Source organism: Homo sapiens, chromosome 4 (assembly GCF_000001405.40).
Source record: "Homo sapiens chromosome 4, GRCh38.p14 Primary Assembly".
NCBI classification, from domain to species: Eukaryota; Metazoa; Chordata; class Mammalia; order Primates; family Hominidae; genus Homo; species Homo sapiens.
Genome location: NC_000004.12, coordinates 174,354,279 through 174,368,403, shown reverse-complemented (window position 1 = coordinate 174,368,403; position 14,125 = coordinate 174,354,279). Strand labels below are relative to the sequence as shown.

Sequence of the window (14,125 nt, the reverse complement as noted above, 5' to 3'; positions counted from 1 at the left end):
TGCTTCATTGCATTCCAGCCTGGGTGACAAGGGTGAAACTCCATCTCAAAAAATAAATAAATAAATAAGTAAGTAAATAAATAAATGGCTTTGATGGAAGTTTGTTCTATAGAAGGAATCTCAGATAAGATTTTTTTAAAGCTAAGTCCAGCTATGGATGTGTACCATCAAATATCTATGAATTGGGTGAATCCTTCTCCTCTTGAGGTCCCAAGATAACTCAGGGCTGCTGGGTCTGTCAGAAAGTGACATTCTTTACTTACCACAGGTCAAGAATTCTGTACAGGGATGGCGTAGACAAAATATGAGGCCAGTTTTCCCAAGGGGCTTTTATTGGCTGTATAAGTGAAGTTTTTTCCTTAAAGGAAAGCACTCCATTCCAGTCAAGGCCTTGGTAAAATAACCAGTTTCTCTAATTGTATCCTGTTACAAATGAAAACAGATTCTTCTTGCACTCATGCAAATAACTATATTGACATATATTAAGAATACTCATGAATAGTTTCCAAATTCTGGAGAAATCAGGTGGAGACAAACAAATATGCTCCAAATTTTGTTCATAGGAGTATACTTAATTGTTAAAAGCTGCCAATAGCTCAAAAGAAATGTTTCTTTGAGAAATAAAACAAAGAACCAGTAACATTTTAAGAAAAAAGTAAAAACGATTACTTTAGTCAGTCCATGCAGTTAATTCCTGTTCTGCTTGATATTTATGAACATTTTGGCTCTCCATGAGTCCTGAAAGTTTTTTCTCTATTCTGATATCAGTCTCCAAAGTTATCAGAAACCTGCATTCAAGAGTACCTGTCAGGTTTTATAGCTGATTATACAGCCATCTTCTAAAGAGGACAAAAACAAGACAACAATTGTCCATAGATGACAAAAAGTTTAGGGCAGCCTTAGTCAAAACACACAATTGACAAGGAAATTTGTTACCTTTGTGGCACAGAATAATTTAACATAGCAATTATTATTACTGATAATGTACACTAAGTAATATCAGAATTATAGGAGTTTCCCAAAATTTTGTAACATATACCAATAACATATTTATACCAATACAGCCCAAAGAAAACCAAACACCATTTCATATTTAACAATGCTTCCTATATAATATTTATAGCAAATAAGCCAAATTATGTCATTTTTGGACTTTAGGGAACTTAATATCTTAAAGTATTAATTAGGTCAGAAAAAGACAATTTATAATTTGCTTTTGGATAGTTTGTTATAATTTGTAATTTGCTTTTGGATAGTTTGGAACTTTCCTTCAGATTTGATCAAGTCAGATAGAGTTAATCAAACCCAACGGGGAAAAGACCCAACAACAACAAAAAAACTGTTAAGCAAAACAAATGACGGCACAACTTACATGATTACTGAGCGCTCTAATGGTAAGGAGAAATTAAGACCAGCTGGTTGTTAATCTTCACTTTGGCCAAGAAAATTCCCAATTCAGTTACTTACCTAGGAATATGTCTCATGCTAAAGACTGCTCTCTACTATCCTAGAAACAGGATAAATTTCAAATTCATCTTACCTGTTGGAAGTGAGTTCAAACTCCATAAAGGAGTTACCTGCCTTCCATCATCATGGAAGCAGAAAAAACTTGCCTTTCTTGGGTTGGAAGCAAGTAAAACTCCAAAACAGTTGTATAGCAAACTAAACTTTAGATCTTGACCAAATTTTAGGAGATCAGGGATTCTCTGGAGGGGTTCTTCCAGGCCTCAGCAAATTGTTCTGTTGGTTTGAGCCATAAAGATAGCTCAAGCTGGTACCAAACACCAATAGGAGATTTGTCAAAGGTCAGGGGCATCTCCATGCAGAATCCCTTTGTGGTCACCCAAATGTGAACCCCAAATATCTGAGACAGGTCTCAGTTAATTTAGAAAGTTTATTTTTCCAAGGTTGAGGATTCATGCCCATAACGCAGCCTCAGGACGTCCTGATGACATATACCCAAGGTGATCAGGGCATAGCTTTTGTTTTTTTCTTTCTTTTTTTTTTCTTTTTTTTTGAGACAGAGTTTTGCTCTTGTCACCCAGGAACAGTGCTAAGCATTTTCACGGCATCATCACACTCAAATCACACAATGATATGATGAATTATTATCCCAACCTCACTGTAGTTGTCTCATTACAGACATTCTGCTCCATCCTCACTGTCCTGCAGCCATAAGGTTGAGAAGACAGACTAAATACTGGACCTTTTGGTTGTAAATTGTTTTGATGCCTGATTCACATGGAAATCTGGTTTGACAATACTATTATGAATATTCAGCAGAAGTTTTGAATGTGACTCTTCTACCTGGGTAGTGCCAGACCTAATATCCATTGTTTTATTTTATATGACATTAGGATGACACAAAAGAACAGTAACATATGCAAATAAATGCCTCATCCTTGATGATAATATATATTTAGAATGAGATGCATTAATGAGGTTAAGCTGTGAAGAAAAGCATAGGATCTCATCAAACTTGCTATTAAAGTCAATGTCTCAATTTGCTCCTGGCAAGTAAACTTTATGAAAAATGCAACAGGTTGTATAGAGGTTTTCTCTCAGTTTTGTCAAGATAAAAAGACATTAATATTTTGAAATGTGATATCACATTTCAAAATGTATCTACTCATCACATTTCAAAATGTGATATATTCTGTCTCCTATAGAGGAGAATCTATCATTCTCCTCATATTCTGACATTTTAATATACATTTAAAAGAGGAAAACTATTTTCCAAATAAGAAATGAAGACTAGTTGAATTTTGTGTAATTAATTATTAGTGAGAGGAAACAGAAAAATAAAGGGGTTGTTTAGAATTTCTGAAAGCCAGTAAAATTTTGAACCAGAAAATCCCACATGCCATTACAACACGCAATGCCAAACTCCTTTTTTTTCTAGAATTGTCCATCTCGTCTCAGACTGTTAGCCCAAGGTTTATTTTTATAAGGTTTTACTCTGCATATGATCCCTTAGAGTGTGTGTTATTTATTGCTTTAACTTATACAAATATTATTTCTTAATGATTGGATTTGCAGCTTAAACCTTGCCAATCAGCAATAATATCTATCACTACAGATTTTTTTATTTGCTAAGAGCAGAACCAAATTAGTTCCTTATTTTCTCAACTTTCCAAAAAAAAAAAAAAAAAAAAAAAACAAAACACCAGGCAAATGAACAAAAACCCAAGCCTTTACTGCCACCCAGTGGTTGTTCAGAATTAAAAAAAAAATTTTGCCAGGTCATGACTAACATTTTAAAGGAAATTTTTATTCTTGAAATGCTAGAATGTTTCAGACATTTTAATATGAAGCAACTTGAGACAAAAACTTTTAAAAAATAGCCACACATATCTACTATGAGTACATTATCAATGATGTTATTTTAAACATTGCAACAAAATGATGAATACAATAACAACTCATTCTCATCTTACTTTGACAGGTAATTTAACTTTTTGTTTGAAATAATTATAGATTAATATGAAGTTACAAAAATGGTACATATATTTCTATTTAAAAACTGCCAAGTTACTTCCCGAGTGGTTCTGTCATTTTTGATTCACACAAAGTAAAAGATATTCAGTTTCTCGGCATTCTCATCAGCATTTGGTGTTATCACTAATTTTTTTTTTTTTTTTTTGAGACGGAGTTTTGCTCTGTTGCCCAGGCTGGATTGCCGTTGCATGTGATCTCGGCTCACTGCAACCTCTGTCTCCCGGATTCAAGCAATTCTTCTGCCTCAGCCTCCCAAGTAGCTGGGACTACTGGCATGTGCCACTGCACTGAGCTAATTTTTGCATTTTTAGTAGAGACAGGGTTTCACCATGCTGGCCAGGCTGGTCTTGAACTCCTGACCTGATGATCCACCTGCCTTGGCCTCCCAAAGTGCCAGGATTGCAGGCAAGAGCCACCATGCCCGGCCCACTATTTTTAATGTTAGCCATCCTGATAGGTTTACAGTGGTATCTCACTGTAGTGTGAATGTGCATTTTCCTGATGACAAATGACTCTGAACACTTTTCCTGTGCTTATTTGCCATCCACTCCTCTTTGGAAACGTGTCTGTCTTTTGATCATTTTGTATTTTTAAAACTGTTGACTTTCAAGAATTCTTTATATATTCTATATACAATCCCTTTGTCCTATATGGTCTTTAAAAATATTGTCTCTCACTGTGTAGCTTGCCTTTTCATTCTCTTAACAGGGTTTTTCACAGAGCAAACACTTTATTTTGATGAGGTCTGATATGGTTTGGCTGTGTCTCCACCCAAATCTCATCTTGAATTCCCATGTGTTGTGTGAGGGGCCTGGTGGGAGATAATTGAATCATGAGGGTGAGTCTTTCCCATGCTGTTCTCATGAGAGTGAGTAAGTCTCATGAGATCTCTGATGGTTCTATGAGGAGGTGTTCACCTACACAAGCTTTTTCTTTGCCTGTTGCCATCCATGTAAGATGTGACTTGCTCCTCCTTGCCTTCCACCATGATTGTGAGGCCTCCCCAGCCACGTGGAACTGTAAGTCCATTAAACCTCTCTTTCTTTTGTAAATTGCCCAGTCTCAGGTATGCCTTTATTAGCAGTGTGAAAATGGACTAATACAAGGTCCAATTTATAAAAAAACTTTTTCTACATATCATGTTTTGGGTGTAATCAATAAGAACTCTTTGCCTAGCTCTAAGTCCTGAAGATATTCTCTATTTGATTTTTTTCTAAATGTTTTATATTCTTATATTTTATCATTAAGCCTATGATCTATTTTAAGTTAATTTTTCAATAAAGTATGAGGTTTTAGTCAAGGTGCATTTTTTAGAATGTCCAATTGCTCCAGCACCATTTGTTGAAAAGAAAATCCTTCCTCCCTGGAATTGTTTCTGTACCTTTGTTAAAAATCAGTTGAGTGTGTTTGTGTGTAACATGTGACTTTTATTTCATCTTCTAGTTAAACACATTGCATGATTAATCTCAACAACAGCCTTTTGATGACAGTAATGTAAAAATATTGATGAGATAATTTTATCAAAATGAAAACTAACATTAAATGTCTTTGGCTAGTAAAACACAGAAAATTATTCAAAATGGGAAATGAAATCTTAAATAATCTTCATATCATGTGCTGGGTTAAAACCTAATTTTAAATAAACGGCTGTATAACAAATCAGCAGAGAGCCATACCATTGAAGAGACTTCCATGATTTAAATCCTGGCAAGGTATTTTAGCAGCTAGCTACAGGACCTCTGAGGCCTGGCTACTAAACCCCTCAATGTCGGCATTTTTCATCTCCAAAATACAAGTAATAATCTACCTCCCTCTTTATGTTGCTGTGAAGATAAGTTAATTAACAGAACAATGCTTAACATATTAAGAACCCAATTTATGTCATCTATCATCAATAAAATCTGATATAAAAAGTCTGATAATGCCAGTGACAGCTCGAATCACACCTATCTTTTAAGATGAAATATATTTATCCTAAGCCTTGGGCAAGTTTCCTAGTCTAAGTGCATTTCCTCATCTGTAAAATAGGATTGTTATGAGGAACAAGTGAGCTAAAGTATTAGGTGGATTTATCACAGTGCTCAGTTACACAGGAAATACTCCTCTAGTAAGTACTACTCTTCTAAAATTTAAAATATTACTTACAATATTGTACCATTATTAATATCATATATTTGTGGAGCTCAAAGATGTATACAGACAGTCCCAGACAGGATGGTTCAACTTATGATTTTTTGACTTTACAGTGGTGCAAAAGCGATACACATTCAGTAGAAACCAGAGTTGAAATTTTGACTTTTGATCTTTTCCCAGGCTAGTGATATGCAGTATGACACTCTCTAGATGCTGAGCAATGGCAGTGAGCCATAGCCCTGAGTCAGCCAGGTGATAATGAGGGTAAACCAGTACTATACTACACAGTGTAATATAGTCAATAAATTACGTGAGATATTCAACACTTTATTGTAAAACAGGCTTTGTGTTAGATGATTTTGCCCAACTGTAGGCTAATGTAAATGTTCTGAGCATGTTTAAGGTAGGCTAGGCTAAGCTATGATGTCTAGTAGGTTAGCTACATTAAATGTATTCTGACTTATAGTATTTCCAACTTATGATGGGTTTATTGTGACAGTCTCATTGTAAATTGAGGAGCATCTGCAAAACATGCTATGTTAGATGCTAGGATTAAAAAGCAATAAAGGCAGTCCTTATGCTAGATTGCATTTTATAGTCTACAAGCAAAATCAGAACATGCAAAATAGAGATGGGAGAGAAACTATTGCTACCAGAGGCATATGAGACTAAACAGTTTCAGTCTCCATAATGACCAACCATAGTTTGAATGCTGGAGAATTTCAACACCAACAACTCGGTTGACCTAACTCTTAAAGACAGAGCAAAAATATTTAGCAAACCCATGAAAATTAAGTTTATTTGATATTTTAAGAGAAAGAAACACAGATTAGGCAAATATTCTATGGAAGAATAGCAGAGTTTTACCAACTTAATTAGCATATATAAGAAACTATTACCAGCAAAGAAAATTCTGTATGGAAGCTTAAAGCACGGTGGTTACTTATCAATTATGAATATAAGTCTAATTCGTATTTTTTTCAACTTTTATTTTAGATTCAGGGGTATATATACAAGTTTGTTACCTAGTTATATTCTAAGATGCTTAGGTTTGGGGTATGAATGATCCCGTCACCCAAATACTGAGTATAGTACCCAATAATTTTTCAATGCTTATGTATCTCCCTCTCTGCTCCCTCCAGTAGTCTCCAGTTTCTATTGTTCCCATCTTTACATCCACGAGTACCCAACGTTTAGCTCCCACTTACGAGTGAGGCCGTGGTATTTGGTTCTCTGTTCCTGCTTAATTTGCTTAAGATAATGGCCTCCAGTTGCATCTATGTTGCTGCAAAGGACATGATTTCATTATTTTTCATAGCTGTGTAGTATTGCATGGTGTACATGTACTGCATTTTCTTTATTCAGTCCAATGTTGATGGACACCTAGGTTGATTCCATATCTTTCTTATTGTGAATAGTGCTGCAATGAACAGGTGAGCGCATGATGTGCCTTTTTGGTAGAATAATTTGTTTTCTTTTGGATATATATCCAGTAAGGGGATTTCTGGGTCAAATGGTAACTCTGTTTTAAGTTATTTGAAACATCTCCAGACTGCTTTCCACAGTAGCTAAACTAGTTTATTTTCCCACCAACAGAGTATGTGTTCCTTTTTTCCACACGCTCACCAGCATCTGTTGTTTTTTTGAATTTTTAATAATAGTTATTCTGACTGGTGTGAGATGGTATCTTATTGCGGTTTTGATTTGCATTTCCTGATGATTAATGATATGGAGCATTTTTTCATATATCAGTTGGCCTCTTGTATCTTCTTTTGAGAAGTGTCTGTCCATGACTTTCGCCCATTTTTTGATGGGGTTGTTTTTTGCTTGTTCAGTTGTTTAAGTTTCCTCTGGATGCTGGATATTGGACTTTTGTTGGATGCATCATTTGTGAATATTTTCTCCCATTCTGTAAGTAGTCTGCTTACTCTGTTGATAGTTTCTTTTGATGTGCAGAAGCTTTTTAGTTTAATTAGGTCCCACATGCCAATTTGTTTTTGTTGCCATTGATTTTGAGGACTTAGTCATAAATTCTTTCCCAAGGTAAATGTCTAGAACGCCCTATGTTTTCTTCTTGGATTATCATAGTTTGAGGTCTTACATTTAAATCTTTTATCTGTCATGAGTTAATTTTTTTTTTTTTTTTTTTTTTTTTTTTGAGACAGAGGCTCACTCTGTTGCCCAGGCTGGAGTGCAGTGGCACCATCTCGGCTCACTGCAACCTCCGCCTCCCAGGTTCAAGTGATTCTCCTGCCTCAGCCTCCCGAGTAGATGGGATTACAGGCACCTGTCACCATGCCCAGCTAATTTCTGTATTTTCAGTAGAGTCAGGGTTTCACCTTGTTGGCCAGGTTGGTCTCAAACTCTTGACCTCAGGTGATCCACCCTCCTCAGCCTCCCAAAGTGTTGGGATTACAAGCATGAGCCACTGCACCCAGCCAAGTTAATTTTTATATATAGTGAAAGCTAGGGGTCCGGTTTCATTCTTCTGCCTATGGCTAGCCAGCTTTCCTAGCACCACTTATTGGGTGGGGAGTCATTTCCCCATTGCTGATTTTTGTCCAATTTGTTGAAGATCAGATGGCTGCAGCTGTGTGACTTTATTGCTGGCTTCCCTATTCTGTTCCATTGGTGTATGTGTCTGTTTTTTTACCAGAACCATGCTGTTTTGGTTACTGCAGCTCTGTAGTATAGCTTGAAGTTGGGTAATGTGATACCTCCAGTTTTATTCTTCTTGCTTAGGATTGCCTTGGCTATTTGGGCTCCATTTTGGTTCCATAAGAATTTAAGGATTGTTTTTTTCTAATTCTGTGAAAAATGATATTGGTGGGAATTGCACAGAATCTATAGATTGATGACCATAATTTGGGCAGTATGGTCACTTCAACAACATTGACTCTTGTATCCATGAGCATGGAATGGAATGTTTTTCCATTTGTTTGTGTCATCCGTAATTTCTTTTAGCAAAGTTTCGTGGTTCTCCTTGTAGAGATGTTCCACCTCCTTGGTTAGACACATTCCTACATAATTTTTGTATATGGCTGGCTATTGTAAATGGAATTGCGTTCTTGATTTGGCGCTCAGCTTGAATGTTATTGGTTTTTAGAAATGCTACTAATTTTTGTACAGTTATTTTGTATCCTGAAATTTTACTGAAGTCATTTATCAGTTCCAGGAGCCTCTTGGTGAAGTCTTTAGGGTTTTCTAGGTATAGAATCATATCCATGAAGTCATATAGTTTGACTTATTTTCCTATTTGGATGTCCTTTGTTTCTTTCTCTTGCTTGATTGTTCTGACTAGGACTTCCAGTACTATGCTGAATAGGAATGGTGACAGTGAACATCCTTGTCTTGTTCCAGTTTGAAGGGAATGCTTCCAGTTTTTGCCTGTTCAGTATGATGTTGGCTATGGATTTGTCATAGATTGCTCTTATTATTTTGAGGTATATTCCTTCGATGACTAGTTTGTTGAGGGTTTTCTTCATGAAGGGATGCTGGATTTTATTGAAAGCTTTTTCCATGTTCATAATATTTTTAACATATCATTATTTTGAAAGAAAAATAGAACACACCGTTTATCTACTATATTAACCTCTGTTAACAATCCTAGGGTGAGCTGAATCACTGGCTCTCATACCACTGCCACCTTCTGAAAACTCATCAATTTAAAGCATAAACAGTGACACTGTATTGATTCAGCCCACATCACTGACAGCAAATACCTCACTTGTTCAGAGAAGCAAGATGACTCAGAGAAGCCAACTGAAACCAAAAACCAAAGGAAGTAGTTGTCAGAGCAAAACCATAAGTAGCTTAGTAGGTTTAATATTCTTTAAAGCTGTTTATATATGTGCAATAAGTAAATAGATCCCCCTTTAAATCAAAGACTTCCCTTGACTACATGACATCACTTTCTCCATCCTAGTCTAACAGCTTTTTCTGAAAAATAATAACATTATACTGTGCTTCTTTTTCATGTTAATTATTTTGTTGTATAATTTGAAGACAAGCAATCTTAGAATTGTGTAACTCACATACACCTACACACATATGTATTTATTTTAAGGATCATGTCTATGTTTTTTCAAAAATGAGTCTTCATAACATAGCTGTCTTAGTCTGTTTTCTGTTGCTTATAATAGAACACCTGAAACTGGGTAACTTATAAAGAAAAGAAATTTCTTACAATTCAGGTGGCTTGGAAGTCCAAGGGCATGGCTCAGTGTCTGGTGAGAGCCTTCTTCCTGGTGAGGACTGTGCAGAGACCTGAGGCAGTGCAGACCATCACATGGTGAGGGGGCTGAGCATGCTAACGTGCTAGCTCAGGCCTCTCTTCCTCTTAGAAAGCCACCAGTTCCACTCCCATGATTGCCCATTAATCCATTAACCCATCAATTTATTAACTCATGAGTAGATTAATCCACTCAGGGGGCAGAGCACTCATGAACCACTCACTTCTTAAACGTTCCACCTCTCAATACTGCCACATAGGAAATTTGGTTTCCCACTCATGAAATTGAGGGGGGGGCACATTCAAAACATGGCAGTAACGAAGGCCTGAATGGCTTGACGATGCTGAACCATTTCCTGCATGGGAGCAGGAAAGAAAATTTACTCACAGAAGCAGTGAAAACCCTGGAATGTTGTGAAATTCTCTAGGACTAACCTGAAAAGCCCTTGTATCTGTGTTTTTTTTTGTTTTGTTTTGTTTTGTTTTGTTTGACCAGTGACAGCTTGTCTCTCCTTGTCCTTCACGCCTAAATATAGTGGACCAACCTGAGGAAGCAGTATCATAACCAATTTGGAGAGAAAAAGGAAGGAATTTGGTCTAGGATCACTATTGCCCTGTAGAAATGAAGGGGAATTATTAGTTTCTGATATTTTGAAAATAGCTAATAAAATAGGAGTGTCTGTACAAAGATTTATGGTAAATAATGTACTCTCAGACATATTACTTAACTCTCACCATAACCTAAATATGACCAAGAAAAAATATTTATTTACCAGTAAAATAAAAAACATAGTGAGGTTTTCGGTTTGGTTTGATTTTCTAGGAATTTCAGAGTAATTTTAAAAACAGAGTTGTCATTCTCTCAGGTAACACGAGATGATTTTATGTACTGGAAAGTTTCCTCTGAAAATGTCACAGAATATTTAAATGACACCGTAGTTGTATAACATTTTACTGAGATGTCATCACAGTTAAAAGTTGCCTGTGTGAGTAAGGCTTACCATACTTCAGCAGGCTTTGTGTGACTGTGAACTCCTCTCACACCTCCAATTCCAATTACAGAGACTTTCTGAAAAGGAATCAGGGACCTGGAGCATAACCCAGTATGGAGGTCACAACTGGGGAGGGGAGGAAATGGCCAAAATGAAAGGCGATGTCATTGAATGCAGGAAGAATTTTTTTTTTTGCAACCGGGTCTTGCTCTCTTGCCTAGGCTGGAGTGCAGTGGTGTGACCATAGCTCACTGCAGCTTTGAACGTCTGGGCTCAAGCAATCCTTTCACCTCAGCCTCACAAGTAGCTGGGACTACAGGCACATGTCACCATGCACAGCTAATTAAAAAAAAATTGTAGAGATAGGATCTCACTATGTTGCCCAGGATGGTCTTGAACTCCTGGCCGCAAGTTTAAATTAAATGTTAAGAATGGCATTGGGAGGCCGAGGCAGGCAAATCATGAGGTCAGGAGATCGAGACCATCCTGGCTAACATGGTGAAACCTCGTCTCTACTAAAAATATAAAAAATTAGCTGGGCATGGTGGCAGGCGCCTGTAGTCCCAGCTACTCGGGAGGCTGAGGCAGGAGAATGGTGTGAACCCGGGAGGTGGAGCTTGCAGTAAGCCGAGATCATGCCACTGCACTCCAGCCTGGGTGACAGAGCAAGATTCCGTCTCAAAAAAAAAAAAAAAAAACAAAAAAAACCGGCAATACTTCACTTTGTAGTTGAAGTCCCAAAGAGCAGAACTGTGAATTCTAAAAACAGAACTTTAAAAATAGCTGTGAAAGAATGGAACAAAAATAGTTTTATAAGGCAGCTCCACTTACAGAATATTGTGTCATTGTGATCTCCAGTAGAGTAATTTTATTTTTCTTTTCTGAAGACCATGCAGGTGAGAGTAATAATCCACAGGGATGTATTTGATTTAGAAAAAGTCAAGACTGTTAGTACAAAACAAAGATTGGGGATATTATTGGTTTACACCTAAGGATTTCAACTAAAGAATTTCATTAGATGTGCAGGAGAGAAAAAGTAGTATCTTTTTCATACCAATTGCGAAGTTGACAATTGGTGAATGACACCTATAACAAAAGACAGATTAACGAGAAAGGCATAACAAAATTTTTTAACCAAAATTTTGTGTGACACGGGAAACTTCAGAAATGACCTGAAGACTTAGGAAAAGCTGTGTATTTTTATGCCTAGGTTTGCTAAAGAATGGACAGTCACATAGAAGTCTGATTGTCCAGCCTGGCCAACATGGTCAAACCTCGTCTCTACCAAAAATACAAAAATTAGCTGGGCGTGCTGGCGGGCACCTGTAATCCCAGCTACTCGGGAGGCTGAGGCAGGAGAATTGCTTGAACCCAGGAGGCGGAGCTTGAGGTGAGCCGAGGTCATGCCGCTGCACACTCCAGCCTGGGCAACAGAGTGAGACTCCGCCTCAAAAAAAAAAAAAGAAAGCAAGAAAGAAGAAGCCTGATTGATCAAAAAGGATATGATCAATAAACTGGGGGGAACTAAGCAAGGCCTGTTTGTTCAGATTCTGCTCTGGCTGTATGTATCTTCTTTCCTTTTCTCTGGATTTAAGGTGTCCCAAAAAGTCTTCATTCTCCACATGGAGGGAGAGAGAATGATTTTTATGGCCTGGGAGAGAAGGTTGGAGAAAGTCAGAGAGTGAGCTTTCTGCTTATGCCAAGGTGCCATATTTTGGGATATCATGTTCTAAGCCCTGATATATATTAAAAACAATTGCCCGCTTATGGAGCCAACTTTGAAACAATATGAACTATTTTCTGATGTCCTTACAAATTGGTGTAATATGCCATATGGGAGTTCATCTAACCCTTGGTGATTTACATAAACCTGGAACTAACCTCATATTTCCATTTGCTACAGAAGTCTAGAGCCATTCCACAGTCGTTGGCTAATTTCTGGACAGCTTACTATCTCCTAACTTCCTCTGCTTCTTGGGCTCTTGTTTCTCGTTTATATTGGGGTCAACATGAGGTGCTACCAGATATAAAACAGCTCCTTTACTGTGTTTGCTGAAAATTGAAACAAAGCATTTATAAGCACAATAGACTTTCCTGATGACTGGAGAGACGGGGGGCAAAAGCTCATCACTTATTATATTGTCCTGTCCCCCAAGTCCATTTTTATCACTCACCACCAGAAGTTTCTCTCCTGGCTCTTTCTCTGCAGCACCTGCTTTTTGATTTTGCTGGCCTGTCTCTTCTCTGCTCCCACCTTTTATTCCACTCCCCTCCCCAGTCCTTCTCAGTAGCAAAACAACACATTCCTCCTTTTACCTCATGTGTAGTGGTTCCCCTTTCCTCTGAAGTCACCAGCTGACACACTCCCAGCATTTATGAACACAGATTCTAAACAGAAACGGTTCACAGAGAGGAATTCTGGACCGAATATTAGAATAATATGTTCTTAACAGCATTACATTATGCCTGGTTTTGAGTGAGACAAATTTAGCATGATCATGGTTGGTGAAAATCATTGGGATGAAAAAAATGAATTCTCAAAATTGTATCTCATTAGTCCTCAGCAAGCAAGTGAGGCATCTTTCTCTCTACTTTACAGATGAGAGTTCTAAGGCAATAAAATGTCAGAAAATTTCCCTAAGATGACTCCAGGAATAAGGAATGGAGCCTGTAAAAACACTCTTTGGGAGGCCGAGGCAGGTGGATCACGTGAGATCAGGAGTTTGAGACCAGCCTGGCCAACCTGGTGAAACCCCATCTCTACTGAAAATACAAAAATTACCTGGGCGTGGTGGTGGGCACCTGTAGTCCCAGCTACTCGGGAGGCTGAGGCAGAAGAATCACTTGAACCAGGAGGCGGAGGTTGCAGTGAGTCAAGATCGCGCCATTGCACTCCAGCCTGGGCGACAGAGCGAGACTGTCTCAAACACACACACACACACACACACACACACACACTCAGTTCTAATTGGCTCCTAGTCACACACATTTTACAATGCCTTCTATGCTAACAAAAATCAACACAACACAATTCTCTGAACATCTATAATACATACAGTTGAAACTTGACTATATTCTGTTTTGGATTACTTTTCTTGAGTCTTTTCTTCTTAATAAGACAATAAGTTCTTTCAGGACCAACACTAATCAAGGAACATCTTATTTCCTATCTTCAAGATTAATAACCAGTCACCATATTCAACAAACAATTTGGGGTTTAATTTCATAATTTTCTTATGCTAACTTTATAATTCTGTGAATAATATGATCA

The 14,125-nt window shown here is 37.5% G+C and overlaps 1 long non-coding RNA gene across 3 annotated transcripts in view, besides 1 other annotated feature; it reads right to left on the bottom strand.

Annotated features, from left to right (window-relative positions):
* LOC105377547 (uncharacterized) overlaps positions 1–13,675 on the bottom strand; it is a 43,658-nt gene extending 29,983 nt beyond the window's left edge. For 2 of the 3 annotated variants that reach the window (XR_001741919.1, XR_939487.2), the window contains exon 1: positions 12,736–13,576. This is a non-coding gene — a long non-coding RNA (uncharacterized LOC105377547). Of the gene's footprint in view, positions 1–12,735; positions 13,577–13,636 lie in introns of those variants that run through there. The other variant, XR_001741920.1, reaches the window with a different exon arrangement.
* Positions 9,689–9,818: an enhancer, noted in NCBI's record as "active region_22164". NCBI's record gives its function as "activates an Ori minimal core promoter by ATAC-STARR-seq in GM12878 lymphoblastoid cells {active_cell/tissue: GM12878}" and the evidence as "EXISTENCE:reporter gene assay evidence [ECO:0000049][PMID:35858748]".
* Positions 13,676–14,125: the final 450 nt, after the last annotated feature.